This window comes from Homo sapiens, chromosome 7 (genome assembly GCF_000001405.40).
Source record: "Homo sapiens chromosome 7, GRCh38.p14 Primary Assembly".
In the NCBI taxonomy this organism is placed as follows: domain Eukaryota; kingdom Metazoa; phylum Chordata; class Mammalia; order Primates; family Hominidae; genus Homo; species Homo sapiens.
This window is the reverse complement of record NC_000007.14, coordinates 7,699,930-7,716,420: the sequence shown is the minus strand read 5'-3', so window position 1 is coordinate 7,716,420 and position 16,491 is coordinate 7,699,930. Positions and strand designations below refer to the sequence as shown.

Sequence of the window (16,491 nt, the reverse complement as noted above, 5' to 3'; positions counted from 1 at the left end):
GAAAAGAAATGATTTGGGGGCTGCTTTTTATTTAAAAGGAAACCTTGCCAAGGACTCTCTTAGCCTCACTAACTGCCTAAATTTCTTTCGAGCTCCTGTATCACTTTGAAGTTATAAGAATAAATACAATTTTTCTTGGCATTGTTCCTTCCCATGTTGTAATAATATCGAATCCTGATTCAAGCTGTTATTCAATACAACATAGAACTATTTCTAGGGCATCTAAAACTACCTATGGCATGAGTAATTTTTGCAGCTGGATTGCTCTTATCTCCTCCTCCTCTTCATATTTAGATCCATCCTTTTCTGCCACAGCTTGTTTGCTTTCTGCATCCATAATTTCATTTTCAAAAAAAATTTTAACTGTAGCCATATGCCTGACATATATTAGTTTCTAATTTAAAAAATTATTCGATTTGTCTGAGATACTTAAAAACAAATATACAACAGCAACAAACTATGTTTTATACTATCTCCTTGTAATTAAGGATTTTTTAAGTGATAGTTTTCACCAAAGTTTAGTAAATGGTTAAAATGTAAATTTTGCTCTATGCTATCACGATACTATTTTTTAAATGTTTGATGCTATTCTATTTTATATGACTGCTACTACTGTCTTATACTTCTTTTCCCAAATTAAAACTCAAAACTCTTTCTTACATCTTTTACATCTCTTTACATACTCTGATTCATGGATTACAGGAAGGATATTACATTCAATGGTAAAACTATGACTTTTAGGTCATTTTTTTCTGGAAATTTGTGGATCTTTATTTTCATTTTTAAAAATAATTGCTATTGAAAAACTTTATCCTCATTTGAATGAAAACAGAGCTCTTCTTTGTATTGTTCATAATGGCATACCCAACACCCAGCACAGCACCTAGCACACAGAAATATTCAGATATTGTCGGAATGCATGAATGTTTATATAATTTCATGGAAGCATTAATTATTGAAATAAGAGTGCACTTCCCTAAGTTACTTATCAGGGAACTAGCTTTGGTTATCAGTAGCTTTGAGTTTCAGATTTGGGAAAAAATTCATTAAATTAGCTATTCTAACAGCTAGCTATAAGGTCTATGGTCAACTCTTCTGCTACTACTATTCACCAAGATCATTGATGAAACTGTATTCATAAATCTGGTGAAAACTTTTCAGTTCTTATCCTACTTGTAGTTCACTTTGTCTCAGGTACTCAGAAAAAGGATGTGAAGACAATGCACAGGGAATACAATAGTTTCAGGTAAGTTTATTTTCTTTAACTGTTTCTATGCTGAAGGTGCATATTAATGGTGAGATATTCTATAATTCAGAGTTCATCTCGTAAAACACTAAAAAAAAGTATTTTTTTTAAGTTCTAAGATTTGTGGATTTGCCTACAACAAAAAACTGCAGTTGGTTAGTTCTAGTTTCATTGCTGCCTATGGCAACTGTAATTCCTCTGTAGTTTTTTGTTGTTGTTGTTGTTGTTGTTTAATTCTAGTGCCCCTGTTCTGCTTAGTTCAACCACATGGTACAACAGGTCTGCAAGTGTTACTATCAACTAAAAAAAAAAAAAAAAAAAGAAAAATTTTTGAACAACCAGTTCATGAGGAAATAAAAAAATTACTCTACACAAGTGCCCAACACCCTAAATCCTGACTTTCTCCCAGCTTCCAACCTGTTACTTGCTTTAACCTTCCCCCAGGAAGGTTTTCAGCTGAGGCCTTTATTTGCAGTTAGGGACACCTGATGGAGTTCTAAGTCTTTCTTATGTAAGTCCAACATATAATACATTGTACACAACCTCCAACTGTTTTAAAGCAAATGAGAATTTAAAGATATTTACAAATCAATCTACCACTGATTCCTAGATCCTAAGTCATCTCACCCACACCTAAATTGACAGCTCCTTTTTTATTTTAGCAATTAAACTATATAGATTATTTCTAAAGCATTTAACAAAGTTTCGTAGCTATAAGTACTCCCTCTTTATTCATGTTTAAGTACAACCTCTTAATTCATATTTTAATTAAATCATGCAATTATAATAAACAAGTACATACATTTAGGAGCAAACAGCTTGACACTTCAGCAGCACTCTGCTGGAGCAGCCAAAGAAAGTCTGCTCATCAGAGAATAAACTAGATGCTGTCAACATCCAAGGATTTATAGAAAAGTTGGAAATGCTGGTCAATATGCAAAGTCATATAAGTGGAGGTCAGTTAAGACTGATATGCTTTTCTTTGAGAAAAGGCCATGAATCAAGTCTCAACACATTTCAGGAATTTCTATCATTTGTACCACCCTCTCTGACCACAGGACATTAAATTAAAAATCTTCATCAAAAAGATAACACACAAAAAAACTCAATTTTTGGAAATCTTAAAACATTTAAAAATAACTCAACAAAGAAGTATTGACGATGAAAAACGTGTGGGGCAGGTGTGGTGGCACATGCCTGTAGTCCCAGCTACTCAGGAGGCCAAGGCAGGAAGATCACTTGAGACTAGGAGGTCGAGGCTGCAGTGAGCTGTCTGTGGTCACACCACTGCACTCCAGCCTGGGTGACAGAGTGAGACCCTGCCTCTAGAAAAAATTTTTTTAATTTTTTGAAAAGAGAAAAATGTGCAAAATGACAAACGAATGGAAATAATACAAATTAAAATTTGGAAGCTGCTCAATAGCATTTAAAGGGAAATACAGGGCATTATTAATGAACATATTAGAATTTTTAAAAGCTTAAAAATGATGATCCAAGGACAAACAACCAACTTAAAAAGTCAAAATGAAACTAACAAAATAAACTCCAAAGAAAATGAAAAAGGAAATAATTAAGGTAAGAGCAAGAAATGATGAAACAGAAAATAAAATGCAAAAGAGGAACAATACATCCTAAAACTGGTCTTTTGAAAACACTAAGAAAATAAATAGTAAAGCAATAAATAAACAATATTGCCATGGGGGGGAGGAGCAGAACATAATGAAAATCCCAGAGATTAAAAAATGGTAAGAAGATATCATTTAAAAAAAAAAAAAACTCTGTCTATAAACTTAGATTTGTTTGTTTGTTTGTTTTTGTTTTGTTTTGTTTTGAGATGGAGTCTCACTCTGTCACCCAGGCTGGAGTGCAGTGGCGCAATCTCAGCTCACCACAACCTCCGCCTCCTGGGTTCAAGTGATTCTCCTGCCTCAGCCTCCTGAGTAGCTGGGACTACAGGTGCACGCCACCATGCCCAGCTAATTTTTTTTTTTTGTATTTTTAGTAGAAACAGGGTTTCACCATGTTGGTCAGGCTGGTCTCAATCTCCTGACCTTGTGATCTGCCTGCCTTAGCCTCCCAATGTGCTGGGATTATAGGTGTGAGCCACCGCGCGCGGCCCTAGAATATTTTTTGAATGAGCAATCACCTAGAAAAATATCTTACCAAATTGACACAATAGGCTAGTCTGCAATTATCAACAAATTCATTCGGTACATAAAAGCTACCCACTAAAGAAACACGAGGCCAAGATAATTTTTACAGGTGAATTCTATTAAAATCAAATCTTATACCAATTCTAACAACACTCTATGCCTATTATGTTTCTACAATAAGCCTTTAGCCAACCAGGAGCAACCCAAAAAAACAAAATGTATTGTATGTAGTAGTTCACAATTGCAAACATTATAAGCATTCTTTTTACAATCAAAAGTGGGGAAAAGATGTTTTCTTTGACACTTCTCTTCAACATACTAGAGGTCCTAGACCATGCAGTAAGACCAAAAGATAAAATGAAACCACAAGGATTTGAATGAAACAAAACTCACTATTCACAGAGGTTATAATTACGTACTTAGAAAATTCAAAAGAATCTAAAGATGAATTATGGGAAGTAAATATTTTATCAAGATGGTTGCTACAAGTATCAGCTACATGTTTCTATGCTGGCAACAAACAGAAAATACAACTTTAAAAATATTTACTATAATAATAAAACAAAAAAGCACTCTAAGAATAAATCTGACAAAAGCAGAAATGTGATTTTTATGAAAAATGCATGGCAATTTTACAAAAATGTATTAAGGAAACCTAAGCAAATGGACAGAAATATATTTCTGAAGAAGACTAAATATTGTAAATATAGCAATTCTCCCCTAAATTAATCTATATGTTCAATAAAATTTCAACAAAAATCACATCAGAGTGGGTAGGTTTGAGTGATTATCCATCTGTTATTCATTTTTTATTTATTTGGCATAAGATCAACTGATGCTTCATTATATAGAAAAGCAGAGAACAAAGGAAGGTTGAGATGGTTTTAAAGGATGGTAATATAATGAGCTTTATGACATTGGCTAAGAGAGAGAAAAATAGCCTCATAAAGTAGGAGAACCAAAGATACTATATATGTAAGAGTAAGCTTGGAAGATACGTGAAGAAAAGAAGATGAATTAATCCAAAATAGTACTAAGAAAATAGGTTATCCCTACAAAAAAAAATTAAAATCGGATCGCTATACCACACTATAACCAAAGTTAACCATAGAGCTATAAGAAGATGCTATAGGAAGATGACTTTCTGATCTCCAAGAAGGGACTTTTTAAATCAGACTGAAATATGAAAGTTAAGGAAAAGTTTTATATATTTTAAAACTGTCACATCAAAATGTCTCTTCATTAACAGATAAAAAGAAAAACATAAGTCATTAAAATGCAACAAAATTTGTAACTAGATCCCCTTAGAATCAACTTTTTAAATGACAGACAATACAGCAGGGAAAAGAGATCAATAGTGATTTTACTGAGCAAAAAAACCACATATGACTATTAAACATAAATAAAAATGTCCAATTCCATTATAAACAAGAAAATGTAAATTAAAAACACAAGATACCATTTTCTAACCAACAGACTGATAAAAATTTAAGTCTCACAGTATTACATGTTAAAAAGGATAGAGTATAATATCCTTGAAGTACAATATCCTTAAAAAGGATAGAGTATAATATGAAAAGGATAGAATTTTCATATACCACTTGGGAAAAAAATTTGCCATGATTTACTAAAGTTAACATGTGCATAGCCTGTAATTCCTCCCGGAAATAAAATCTAGAGGAAAGCTCACATATGTGCACCAGGAGACATGTACAAGGATGTTTGTAACAGCATCATGTTGTCTTTTAATTGAACTTTTTCAGATAATTCTAGATTCACAGGCAGATTGGAGAAATTATATGGAAATATCCCATGTAGCTTCTACCTGGTTTACCACAATGGCAACATCTTGCAAAACTATAGTTCAATACCACAACCAGGATATTTCATTCACACAGACCAGATACAGAACATCTCCATAACCACCAGAATCCCCAGTGTTATCCTTCTATAGCCACACACACTTGCCTCTAACTTTCACCCCATCCTTACCCACCGGCGACCAATGATTTCTCTATTTTTTGTGTACAGTTTGGTCATTTCAAGAATGCTACATAAATGAAGTCATACAGTACGTTACCTTTAGGGATTGGCTCTTTTCACTCAGCATAATTCTCTGGAGATTCATCCAGGTTGTTGTATATATCAACAGTTTGTTACTTCTTCTTGCTGAGTATTATTCCATGATATAGATATACCATAGATTTAACCATTCACCTGTTGAAGGATATTTGGTGTGTATCCAGTTTGGGTCTATTATGAATAAAATTGCTATAAATACTCAGTTTTATGCACATATACGTCTTCAATTTCTCTGGGATAAATGCCCAAAGTGTAATTGCTGAGTCGTATAGTAACTGCATATTCAGCTTTTCAGAAACTGTCTATTTTCCAGAGTAATTGTACCATTTTACATTCCTATCATCAATAAGTGATCCAGATTCTCTTCATCCTTACCAGCATTTGGTGTTATTACTATTTATTTTAGCTATTCTGATACAGGTTTGTAGAGACCTATCATTATGGTTTTAATTTGCATTATGGCTAATGACACTTATTCATGTGCTTATTTGCCATATGTATATCCTCTTCAGTGAAATGTCTCTTCATGTCTTTTGCCCATTTTCTAATTTGGTTTTATGTTTTTTTGTTTTTTGTTTTTTACTGCTGAGTTTTGCAAGTACTTATTCTAGGGACTAGTCCTTTCATTTTGGGCAATTTTTGCATAAAGTGTGAGACACAGATCAAGGTGTTTTGTTTTTTCTTCTGCCTACTAATGTTCAGTAACAGCACTGTTTTTAGGAAAACAAAACAAAACCCCAAATGTTCATCATCAGAACAGATATATAAATTGTGGTATATTCATCAATGGAATGTCAAATAAAAATGAAAGAACTAAAGATACATAGAGCAATATAGATGAGACCAGATACATGATACTGAGTGAGAGAGGCAAATTGCTGAAGAACATATTGTACATACATTGTGAGTGACTCGATTTATATATGGTTGTAAAACATACAAAACTACACATATGAAAAATATGTTAACACTATTTAAAAAGAGACCCCAAAAAAGCAGAATTTAAAGAGTGGAATTTACCTCTGAGGTGGGAGTAAGGAGAAGACTTAGAGAACTTCAAGGTTAACAAGAAATTATATTTCTTAAACCAATTGGTGGGTACACAGGTGTTCATCACATTGTCATTCTGAATATGTTCTCATTATTTAAAAAAAAAAACTTTAAAAGGTTATTTTTCAAATTGAGATTTGCATAAGCAAGAGCTAAGAATAATAGCTGGTAAGATGTCACTTTAAAGATCTTACCCTCAGCAGGTAAAAAAACAGTTATTATAAATTGTAATACAGGAACATACCAAACAGACCCTTGTTAGGGAAAGATGACTTCTGAGCAAACAGGTGACTTCTGACAAACCATTCTTATCCCACAAGCCTCATTTTGCCCTTGCAGGCTCAGCGCCTGACTTTTCTTTCAACTTCAAGTCCCCCAGTCATTCACCTTCTCTCCACACAGTTCCTTCTGCTTTGTTTTACAGCATTCTGCCCTCCTCGGGTGGCAATGCTTTAAGTCAACACCAACATCTGACCTCTCCAGCTTATCCACAGGACTTATCTTCTTAAGAGATGGTGTGAGGACAAAGGGTGAGCCTTCCTGACTTGAATTAATGACGACCCACAATTGAACAAGTTTCTAATGTTCATATTTACAAAGAATATAGTCTAGAATCTCAGTTAAATCCATATTAAAAGTAACCCCATGCATAACATTATTCACACATATAATTGAGATAAATCTCAGCACACAGATAGGAAAACAAAGACAGTCAATTTCAAACAACTAATAAAATTATTTAACCATTACAAAATCCCTTAACCATGCCGAATTTTGCAAAATATCTAAGAAATTATTATGCAAGACACTGAAAGATGTGTTATTAAGTAGTTAATTGGTATTTTTAATAGTTAGGACTGTTTTCCTCTTCTGTCTTCTCCTCCTCTCCTCTTTTCCTCCCACACTTTCTCCCTTCCTCTCCCTTTCTCTCTCTCTCCCTCTCTCTCTCTCACACACACACAGACACACAAACACAAACACACACCCCTTGCTGGTTAAAAACTTCTTAAAAACATACAACTGCCTGTATTTGTATATATACATATGCATTTGGTGTCTTGTTATAACTTCCCTTTAAACCACATATTAATGGGCAAAAAAAGTCCTAACATTCTATCTGTTGAAAAGCTGGGTCTGTCTCCAATAAACATAGTTGCTCGTTTCAGTCAAATCAGCTTATTTACTAATTATAAAATATAATTTTAAGATGGCCAAAACGAAGTAGTAGGAAAAGTATATTACTACTTTAATGGAATTTGCTTCTATTTTTGAGGTCTGTCCCAAAAGGACAAATATGTTGACTTATTTTTAAAGGTTTCCTTTCAATGTTTCAAGTTATAAAGCACTGCTGCTTTTGTAAAAGATCCTATTAATTTCTTAACAGAGTGTTAGACCTGATCCCCTTATATCCAAAATGGTAAATGCTGTCTAATAAATACATGGGTGATTGAATAAGGGTCACTGACACTTGGGTAACTGTTTAATACAGAAACAATTTATAATATATATCTCTCTACAAAACTAAAGCTGAGCAATCAATAATTTTGTCTTCCTTCGTCTACAAGTAGCTTATTCAACATTAACTAGTAAACCAAGGGTGAAAGGGAGGGTTGTAAATCACGAAGAAAAGATTCATTTTATTCTTAATTCCCACTTGAATCTATGTAAAATGTTAAGTTACAGACAGTTAAGGAGAAGCTGTTGTGTTTGAATATGTAATTGCTATTTAGATGATAATGGCGTGGATGTCGCAGCAGAACCATGATCCAAATTTGAATAAGGTCTTAATGAAGGAGGCTAAGAGAAGAATGACGACTGAAATACAACAGTGTCAGCAACAGACCTTAATGAAGCAAATTACTTTCAGTACCTTTGTGATTCAGGAGGAGCCGCATTAAAAAAGTGACAACTAAAGGATCAAAAGCAGGACCTTTGCAAACTAAACATGCTTAAAACATGACATCACTGTCTGGGCAACAAGGCATTGTGGAAAGCAGCCTCAATGTTTGGGTTTTACAGCTCACATAGCAAAATAACTACATTAAAAGATCTGGCTAGGCAAACCAGTTTCCTTAGAAAGCATCTTTATATTTCAAGTTAATGACATTTCTGAACAGAAAAGGACTACAAATGCCCAAAGATACCTTGGCCGATTTTTAAAAAGCATTATATATTAACACTAAGAATAGCTTTAAGGCAAAATTAAGCCAGATTTTGGATCACAGAAAACTAAAGAGGTCTTTTTTAAATTCCAAAATATCATTTAGTCTTTTATTATTTGTTAGCTTTATGAAGTATACAATGCATTCTACTTAATAAGTAGTGAAATCACTTTATATATTCATATTTTAAAATCAATTTCACTTTTACAAAATCACACTGAAGCAATTTGAGAGCATATGGCATTCCCACTGCCAAATGGAACATACGTTCAACATGTTTAAATGATTTACCCAAGGTAACATTGCTGATGGTGCTAGAAACTGAACACAAGGCTTCTGGCTTCCAGGGAAAGTCATTCAAGGCAAGCAAAAAGTACCGTAGTTACAAATTTAATTTGATACCTAGAGGATATTTTCTGAAGTCTTCTGAGTTACAGTAACTTGGTGATAACATTCATTCCATATTAATATTGTAGGCAGACAAGGAGTTTATAACCATAATGAATATAATCTTTGCTGTACAGACCAGTATTCACACAGGGTTGTAAAAACTGATTTTGCCTGTTTATTCCATCTCCTCAAATAATGTGCACAAACAGCAATCCTACCAACCAGGGAATGGTAGTACAATAGTTATATATTTATAATCAGAAAACAACTCCTCAATGCTAATTAATTAGTGTCCTGACACAGTCATGTTTCTGTTTCTAGAGACTGACTAAAAATGTTTTGACTTCAAAGACAAGAATGAGACAAGAATATAAGCCTGGCATTAGGAAAGATTTGCTGTCATCTCCCTGGGCCTCTGTTAGGATCTTAGCCACCCCTGCAAATGTTTGTGCTGCAATGGATTTTATTTTAAATCTAAGTAAGTCAAGATGCTCTATCCAAAAAATAACAAAACCAACAGATAGGATGTAGAACATACGGATTAAGAGCACAGACTCAGACAATCTAGTTTAAAATCCCAGCTGTCACTTACTAACCACGCACTCTTACGCAAGTTAGTCAACCTCATCGACACTTTGTTTTCCCATCTGTGAGTTAGAAATAATAGTACTAAGTTCTTAGAGTTCTTATGTAAATGAGTTATTATTAGTTATCTTCATTATTACCTACTAGTATGTGCCTTTGGATGGGTTACTTAAGTTTTGTATTCCTCATTTTTTCCAATTTTAAAAAATGATATCTAACATTTTCAGGCACAATTTAAATGAGGCTTTGGAAACTCTGGAAATATTACATATATTGTTAGCATTGTTATATAGGTTTCATTTTTGGTTTTGGAATCACTGAACCTAGTACAGTTCCCATGCTCTGTTGGTATTTCCTGAACTTCTCTCTCTCTCTTCCAATCATACATGCTCTAACCAGCAAACCCAGACTAGGGTGATAACATGAGCAGCCTCACTACTTCCACCTCTTCTAGATTTTCCCAAAATCTGTACCAACAGATAATTTTTAGACTCTTTTTGATGATTTTTTTCATCTCAGAAGGTGATTATCCGTTTTGTTCTGACTCAACATGGACTTCACATATTTTCACTAATTACTCTCTCTTCCCCAAATCAGTCAACATACACAACACTATTGAGATAATCTACTTTCTTTGTAGCATCCTGACTCCATCATAACTTTGAATGGTGACTTCCATAATTTATTCTAGGGAATAATGACTTCATCCTGTATTTTTCCATGTAAAAATAGCAACAAAGATTTCTAATAAAAGATTATAGAGTACACATACCTTTTTAAAGCAGAGGTTATTTTTTAGAGCAGTTTTAGGTTCATAGCAAAATTGAACAGAAGGTACAGAGAATTCCCATATAACTCCTGCCCCTACACATGCACACCCTCCCCCATTTACAACCTCCCCACCAGAAAGGAATGTTTATTACAATTGATGAACATACACTGACACATCGCTATCACCAAAGTCCATATTTTACATTAGGGTTCAGTCTTTTTATTTTATATTCTATGAGTTTGGACAAATTTATAATGACATGTACCCACCAATATATTAACATAAGAGTAGTTTCACTACCCTAAAAATCCTAAAAACATTCAGTTCTCTGTTTATAAATAAGTTCGACTGTTTCATCTTGAACTCTAATTCATTATCCCTATAATAGAAATACTAATATGATTATGAAAACAATGGATTACACAAGCATAGTACTTAGAGCCAGATGATTACATACAATATGTATTAAGCATTTTGTAATAACACACTGAATATAAACACTGGGTGCAGGCTGTACAGAGCAGTGACCCAAACCAATTACATTAACTTAAACCTACATAGTTATTTTATCGTGCTTACATTTTTAGAACATGTAAAATTACTTTTTAAACTCCAAAGCACTCTAATAATGTAGGTGGTTATTATGATTAAACATTTTTAAGATTCTATTTTTTTATAAGTCAGATATTTTTCCAAAACAGAATCTTAATGACAAAACTAAATCACAGTGCATCAACTATACGAACTTCGTTACAATCATCTTGGAAGTTTATATGCCACTTCCTATTCCATGCATGTCAACAAGATTCCTAAGTTGAGATCTCTTCTCATCATTGCATAAAAAGTTCAAAAACAAAGACTGGTTTACAACATGTCAGAACAGGAGCTCCCTTCAATTCAGAATAATAACAATGCCAGAAAGAATGTCAGTAGTCCTGTGTTACAGATGCCAAGAAGCACCATGGTTCACAATCAGCGCCCTTCCTCTTCTGTATCTGTAAAGGCATGCTGAGTTTATCCAGAATCTTCTTTTCATTCAGATGATGAATACTGTTTAGAATCTGCCCATCTTCTAGGCCTATTTTACTTTACCCAAATAAAACACATCGTTTTTTTTCAATTGATGACCCTTTTGTGATTAAAGACAATCTATAAGTTAAACTGGCATTTAAGTACAGAAGCAAGTCTTTTTTTTTTTTTTTTTTTTTTTTTTTGAGATGGAGTCTCGCTCTGTCACCCAGGCTGGAGTACAGTGGTGCGATCTCAGCTCACTGCAACCTCCACCCCCTGGGTTCAAGTGATTCTCACCCTCAGCTTTCTGAATGGCTGGGACTACAGACGTGCATGACCATGCCCAGCTAATTTTTTTTTTTTTTTTTTTTCTATTTTAGTAGAGACAGGGTTTCACCATATTGGCCAGGCTAGTCTTGAACTCCTGACTTTGTGATCCGCCCACCTCGGCTTCCCAAAGTGCTGGGATTACAGGCATGAGCCACCGCGCCCGGCCCAGAAGCAATTCTTTATGGCAGCAGTTGTTAAACTCTGTGATCTCCAAGACCTCTTTATGCTCTCAAAAATTACTGAGGACCCAAAGGACTCTTACGTCAGTTATATCTGTTAATATTTTTCATATTAGAAATCAAAACTTCAAAACAAATTTTAAATATATTTATTAAGTTAACTGTTTTACATATTTACATGAATGTTTCTATGAAAAATGACTATATTTTCCAAAACAAAAAGAAAGGTAGTAAAAAGAGTAGCCTTATAATTTTACAAATATCCTTAATTTCTAGCTCAACAGAAAACAGTTGGCCTTTCTCTTCTGCATTCAGACTATCATGATGTGTTGTTTAGTTGAAATACAATAAAGAAAACACAGCCTCACACACAGATACTTAGTTGGAAAAGGAAGATGTCTGGGATTCCATCAAAGTATCTCCTTGAGAACTGTTGCTCTAAGGTATGTCTATGTTTCTTTTCTTTTCTTTCCTTCCTTCCCTTCCCTCCTTCCCTTCCTTCCTTCTTTCTTTCCTTTGTTAAGAGACAGGTTATCTGTCGCCCAGGCTTCACTGCAGTGACACAGTCATGGCTCACTGCAACCTCAACCTCCCAGGCTCAAGCAATCCTCCTACCTCAGCCTCCCAAATAGCTGGGACTACAGGGGCACGCCACCACATTACCTGGCTAATTTTGCATTATTTGTAGAAACGGGGTTTCGCCACGTTGCCCAGGCTGATCTCAAACTCCTGGGCTCAAGCGATCTGCCAGTCTCGGCTTCCCAAAGTGCTGAGATGTCTGCGTTTCATAATTAAAACATCCTATTGGCCAGAGAAGAAGGAACTGAACTTTGGCCCTGAACTGATTAGGACAAATTGTTGTTAGCACCTGTGTTGTAAGTGCCTGTATTTTGAGCTTGTCTGAAACCTGAGTCAGGACCTCTGGGATTCAATATAGGTTACAAAAAGATGTTTATAAAATTATGTGTATGTGCTATATCCACACAATGAATAAAATTTAGTTTTCTTTTTATTTAATAAATAAGAAATTAGAGCACTCACAAAATGGTACTTCATACTAAAAAGTTAAAAATTCTATAGGTAAATAAATTAGATGGAAAATCTCTTCTTCAGTCTAAATTTTGATAAAAGATCAATTTAAACTGCAACCTTAAATGAGAACACACGAATTCCATAATTCAGGAAACTACATTATTTTTATTATAGAAGCCTCACTGTAAGCACATTTTTAAAATCTCAGCAAAAAAGAGTACAAACATCAAGTGGATTTTAATCACCATTTTAGTGGGCACCAGTAATTATTTTCGGCAAATAAAATAAACTACAGCTGTATTCAATTATATGAAGAGTCATTCAGTGAAGGTTTGGCAAGGAAGTTCTAAAAAGCAGGCAGTAAACTCAGTGTAGTACTAACTAGAAGACTAGCTGAAGGCATTCTCCTGAAATTCTGCTCTGCCTGCTCGCATGGCTTCAAGGAGCACATGATAAGTTTACACGACAACAGGACTGGAGAATGACGCAAGTGAAAAATAAATGATTTTCCCCTGTAGCTAGGACAATGAAGTTGTACAGGTGGGTGAAGCAATAACTGTTCATCAGCAAACAAACTGGTTGACTTGTCTCTAAGCATTTTTTACAAAAGGCAAACCAAAAACAACAACAACAACAACAACAAAAACCCAGGCCACTGGCAGATGGAGTGGCTTGTCAAATTTTACTCACCGGAGCACATTTCAGAAATCATCATAGATGTCAGTGGAAAAGTAAGATTCAATTTAAAGAAAGTCACTTAATATACACAAAAGCATTTAAGACATTAAGAAACTTTTGCTTTTTATTTTCATCTTTGAGGGCTGTTCATTTGAAAATAAAACAATGTTTAAAAGTATCAGGAAAAGTACAGAAAATGACATGAAAATGAAAATAGCTATTTCAAGTATTAGAGAAAAAGAACACCTGAATTTTATATAAAAGCTATTGGAGTGTACTTGAAAGCCAGGTTTCCTGCCTCCCCAACCAGAATTTTCGTATTATAGTCCATAGACTCCTTCATAAAATATCAATTTAAAAAATAAGAGATAATAAAATATGTCATATTAAAACTGCACTGAATATAGTCTCATCTTTCCTTAAAAGTCAGTTTAGGAAGCATAGGAACTCTAGTCCCTGAAGAAGAATATCAATAATTACTAACTTGTGAAATAATTATTTAATAAAGATTTAGTTTTAAAATGTGAAATAGCCTTTTACTGTTCTGATATTATCACATACCAAACTTTTAAAGACAAGCTATGACTATCATATAAAATCCTCCTTGCAATCACAAACACAATAGAAAACATCTACATAGTAATCACTTCCCTACCTTGACATCCCTTACATTAAATTCAACTATATGTGAATATATTTCTGTATACCTTCTCTATCTGAATTTCAATATGAATTTCAGTTCTACTTTTTACAAATCATGAGCCACTCTTATTTGGAAAATTCGTTAAGAAGAGAAAAGAGGTCAGAAACAGAAAAGGGAGGTATAGCTGATGGCAGAGAGATGGCAGAAATGGTTGCAGTGAATTATTAGGAAAGATAAATGGAGACTGAAGAAAGCAAATACACCCAGGCATCCTCAGAGGGCAGACAGTCATCCGAGACATGGGTAAATGGCTTGTCATGAAATAACCATGGGAGGACCCACAGCTGCAGAAACCTGAATAGAATGAAGGGGAACTGATAAACAGATAGGAGGCAAACATAAGTAAATACCCTGTCATTCTCTTAATCATCCTAATCAGCCTCCTAATCATATTTCACTATGAAATATAGGACCTTATAAGCAAGACCCATAAGGTCAACTCTGAATCAGAAAAGCACAGACACAGAGCATTTAAATAGAGGGGAAGGTTCAGAAAAATACTACTTCATACATCTCTCATCTTCACAAAGCAGCACAGATTTACAAGCATGTAAGAGTGAGCACTGAGAAAGTCTCTAGCAAACAACGGATGGCAAATGAAGTTGAGCAGGACAGTTCCAGTATTACTAATTTAAGATATATAAAATGTCACATAGATTGTCTGTAGTGTGCTTTGTTTTCTTCTAGCAAATGCAAAAACTGTCACATACCTTCAATTTAAGGTCCCCTAACCTAGTTTCCCCTTAAAATTTTAACTTTCTCAGCCACAAATTTATCTTTACATGAGGTTTTAGGGCTCTAAGCCCCACAGTTAGAGAGGAAATGATACAGTTCATTCCTTAAATAGGTATGATAGATTCCATTCCTCCTCACACATCTTCCTCTACAAGAATACAGAACATGTTTATTAAATGTCTAATACACAACTGGAATATTAACCAAATGGCGATAGAGATCCAAGTGTGAATTATACTTGTATGACTTTTTCTTTTTCTTAAGAGACAAGGTCTCCCTCTGTTGCCCATGCTGGAGTGTAGTACCGTGATCATAGCTCACTGTAGCCTCAAACTCCTGGGCTCAAGCAATTCTCTTGCCTCAGTCTTCCATGTAGGTGGGACTACAGGTATGCACCACCATGCCTGGCATTTTGTTTTTTTTTAAGATGGAGTCTCGCTCTTGTTACCCAGGCCAGAGTTCAGTGGCACATTCTCAGCTCACTGCAACCTCCACTTCCTGGGCTCAAGTGATTCTACTGCCTCAGCCTCCCGAGTAGCTTTGATTACAGGCACCCACCACCATGCCTGGCTAATTTTTATATTTTTAGTAGAGACAGGGTTTTGCCATGTTGGCCAGGCTGGTCTTGAACTCCTGACCTTGGGTGATCTGCTCACCTAGGCCTCCCAAAGTACTAGGATTACAGGCGTGAGCCACCGCGCCCGGCCCTTTGGTGTTTTTGTTTGTTTGTTTGTTTGTTGTTTTTATTTTGTAGAGATGGGGGTCTCACTATGTTACCCAGTATGGTCTAGAACTTATGGCCTCAAGCGATCTTCCCACATTGGCCTCCCACAAACTGGGATTACAGGCATGAGCCACTGCACCCAGCCTGACTTTTTCTTAATATAAATTTTTGGACTTCAGGTGTTTTCTCTACACTGAATATTTGTGTTCCCTCAAAATTCATGAAATGAAATCCTACCCCTCATAGTGATGGTATTAGGAGACCTTTGGGAGGTACTTTGGTATTGAGGGTGAAGTACACATGAATGGAATAAAATAATCCTCAGAAAGCCACCCTGACCCTTCCAACATGTGGGGAGCAGGGAGAAAGTGCCATCTATGAACAGAAAGAAGGCCCTCACCAGACTGCCTATTTGCCAATGCCTTGATCTTGGACTTCCCAGTCTCCAGAACTCTGAGAAATACATTTCTATTGTTTACAAGCCACCAATCTATGACACTTTGTTAAAGGAGCCCAGACTGACTAAGACACCCTCCACAGAAGTAGTTATTTACTGAGCATCTCTAAATATTTGAATAACTTGTAAGTATCACCACACTTACTTCATGAGAAGAAAACATTAATTTTTACTTTCACTTCAGGAATTTATTTTTAAGTGT

The 16,491-nt window shown here is 35.0% G+C and overlaps 2 protein-coding genes across 4 annotated transcripts in view; one reads left to right on the top strand and one right to left on the bottom strand.

Annotated features, from left to right (window-relative positions):
* The window catches only part of RPA3 (replication protein A3), an 82,090-nt gene that overhangs the window by 2,187 nt on the left and 63,412 nt on the right, over nt 1–16,491 (top strand). Inside the window, exon 2 of the mRNA NM_002947.5 lies at nt 1,195–1,246. The gene's annotated coding sequence lies outside the window, so the exon portion shown is untranslated. The remainder of the gene's footprint in view (nt 1–1,194; nt 1,247–16,491) is intronic.
* UMAD1 (UBAP1-MVB12-associated (UMA) domain containing 1) overlaps nt 1–16,491 on the bottom strand; it is a 238,472-nt gene that overhangs the window by 162,803 nt on the left and 59,178 nt on the right. The window lies entirely within an intron of this gene.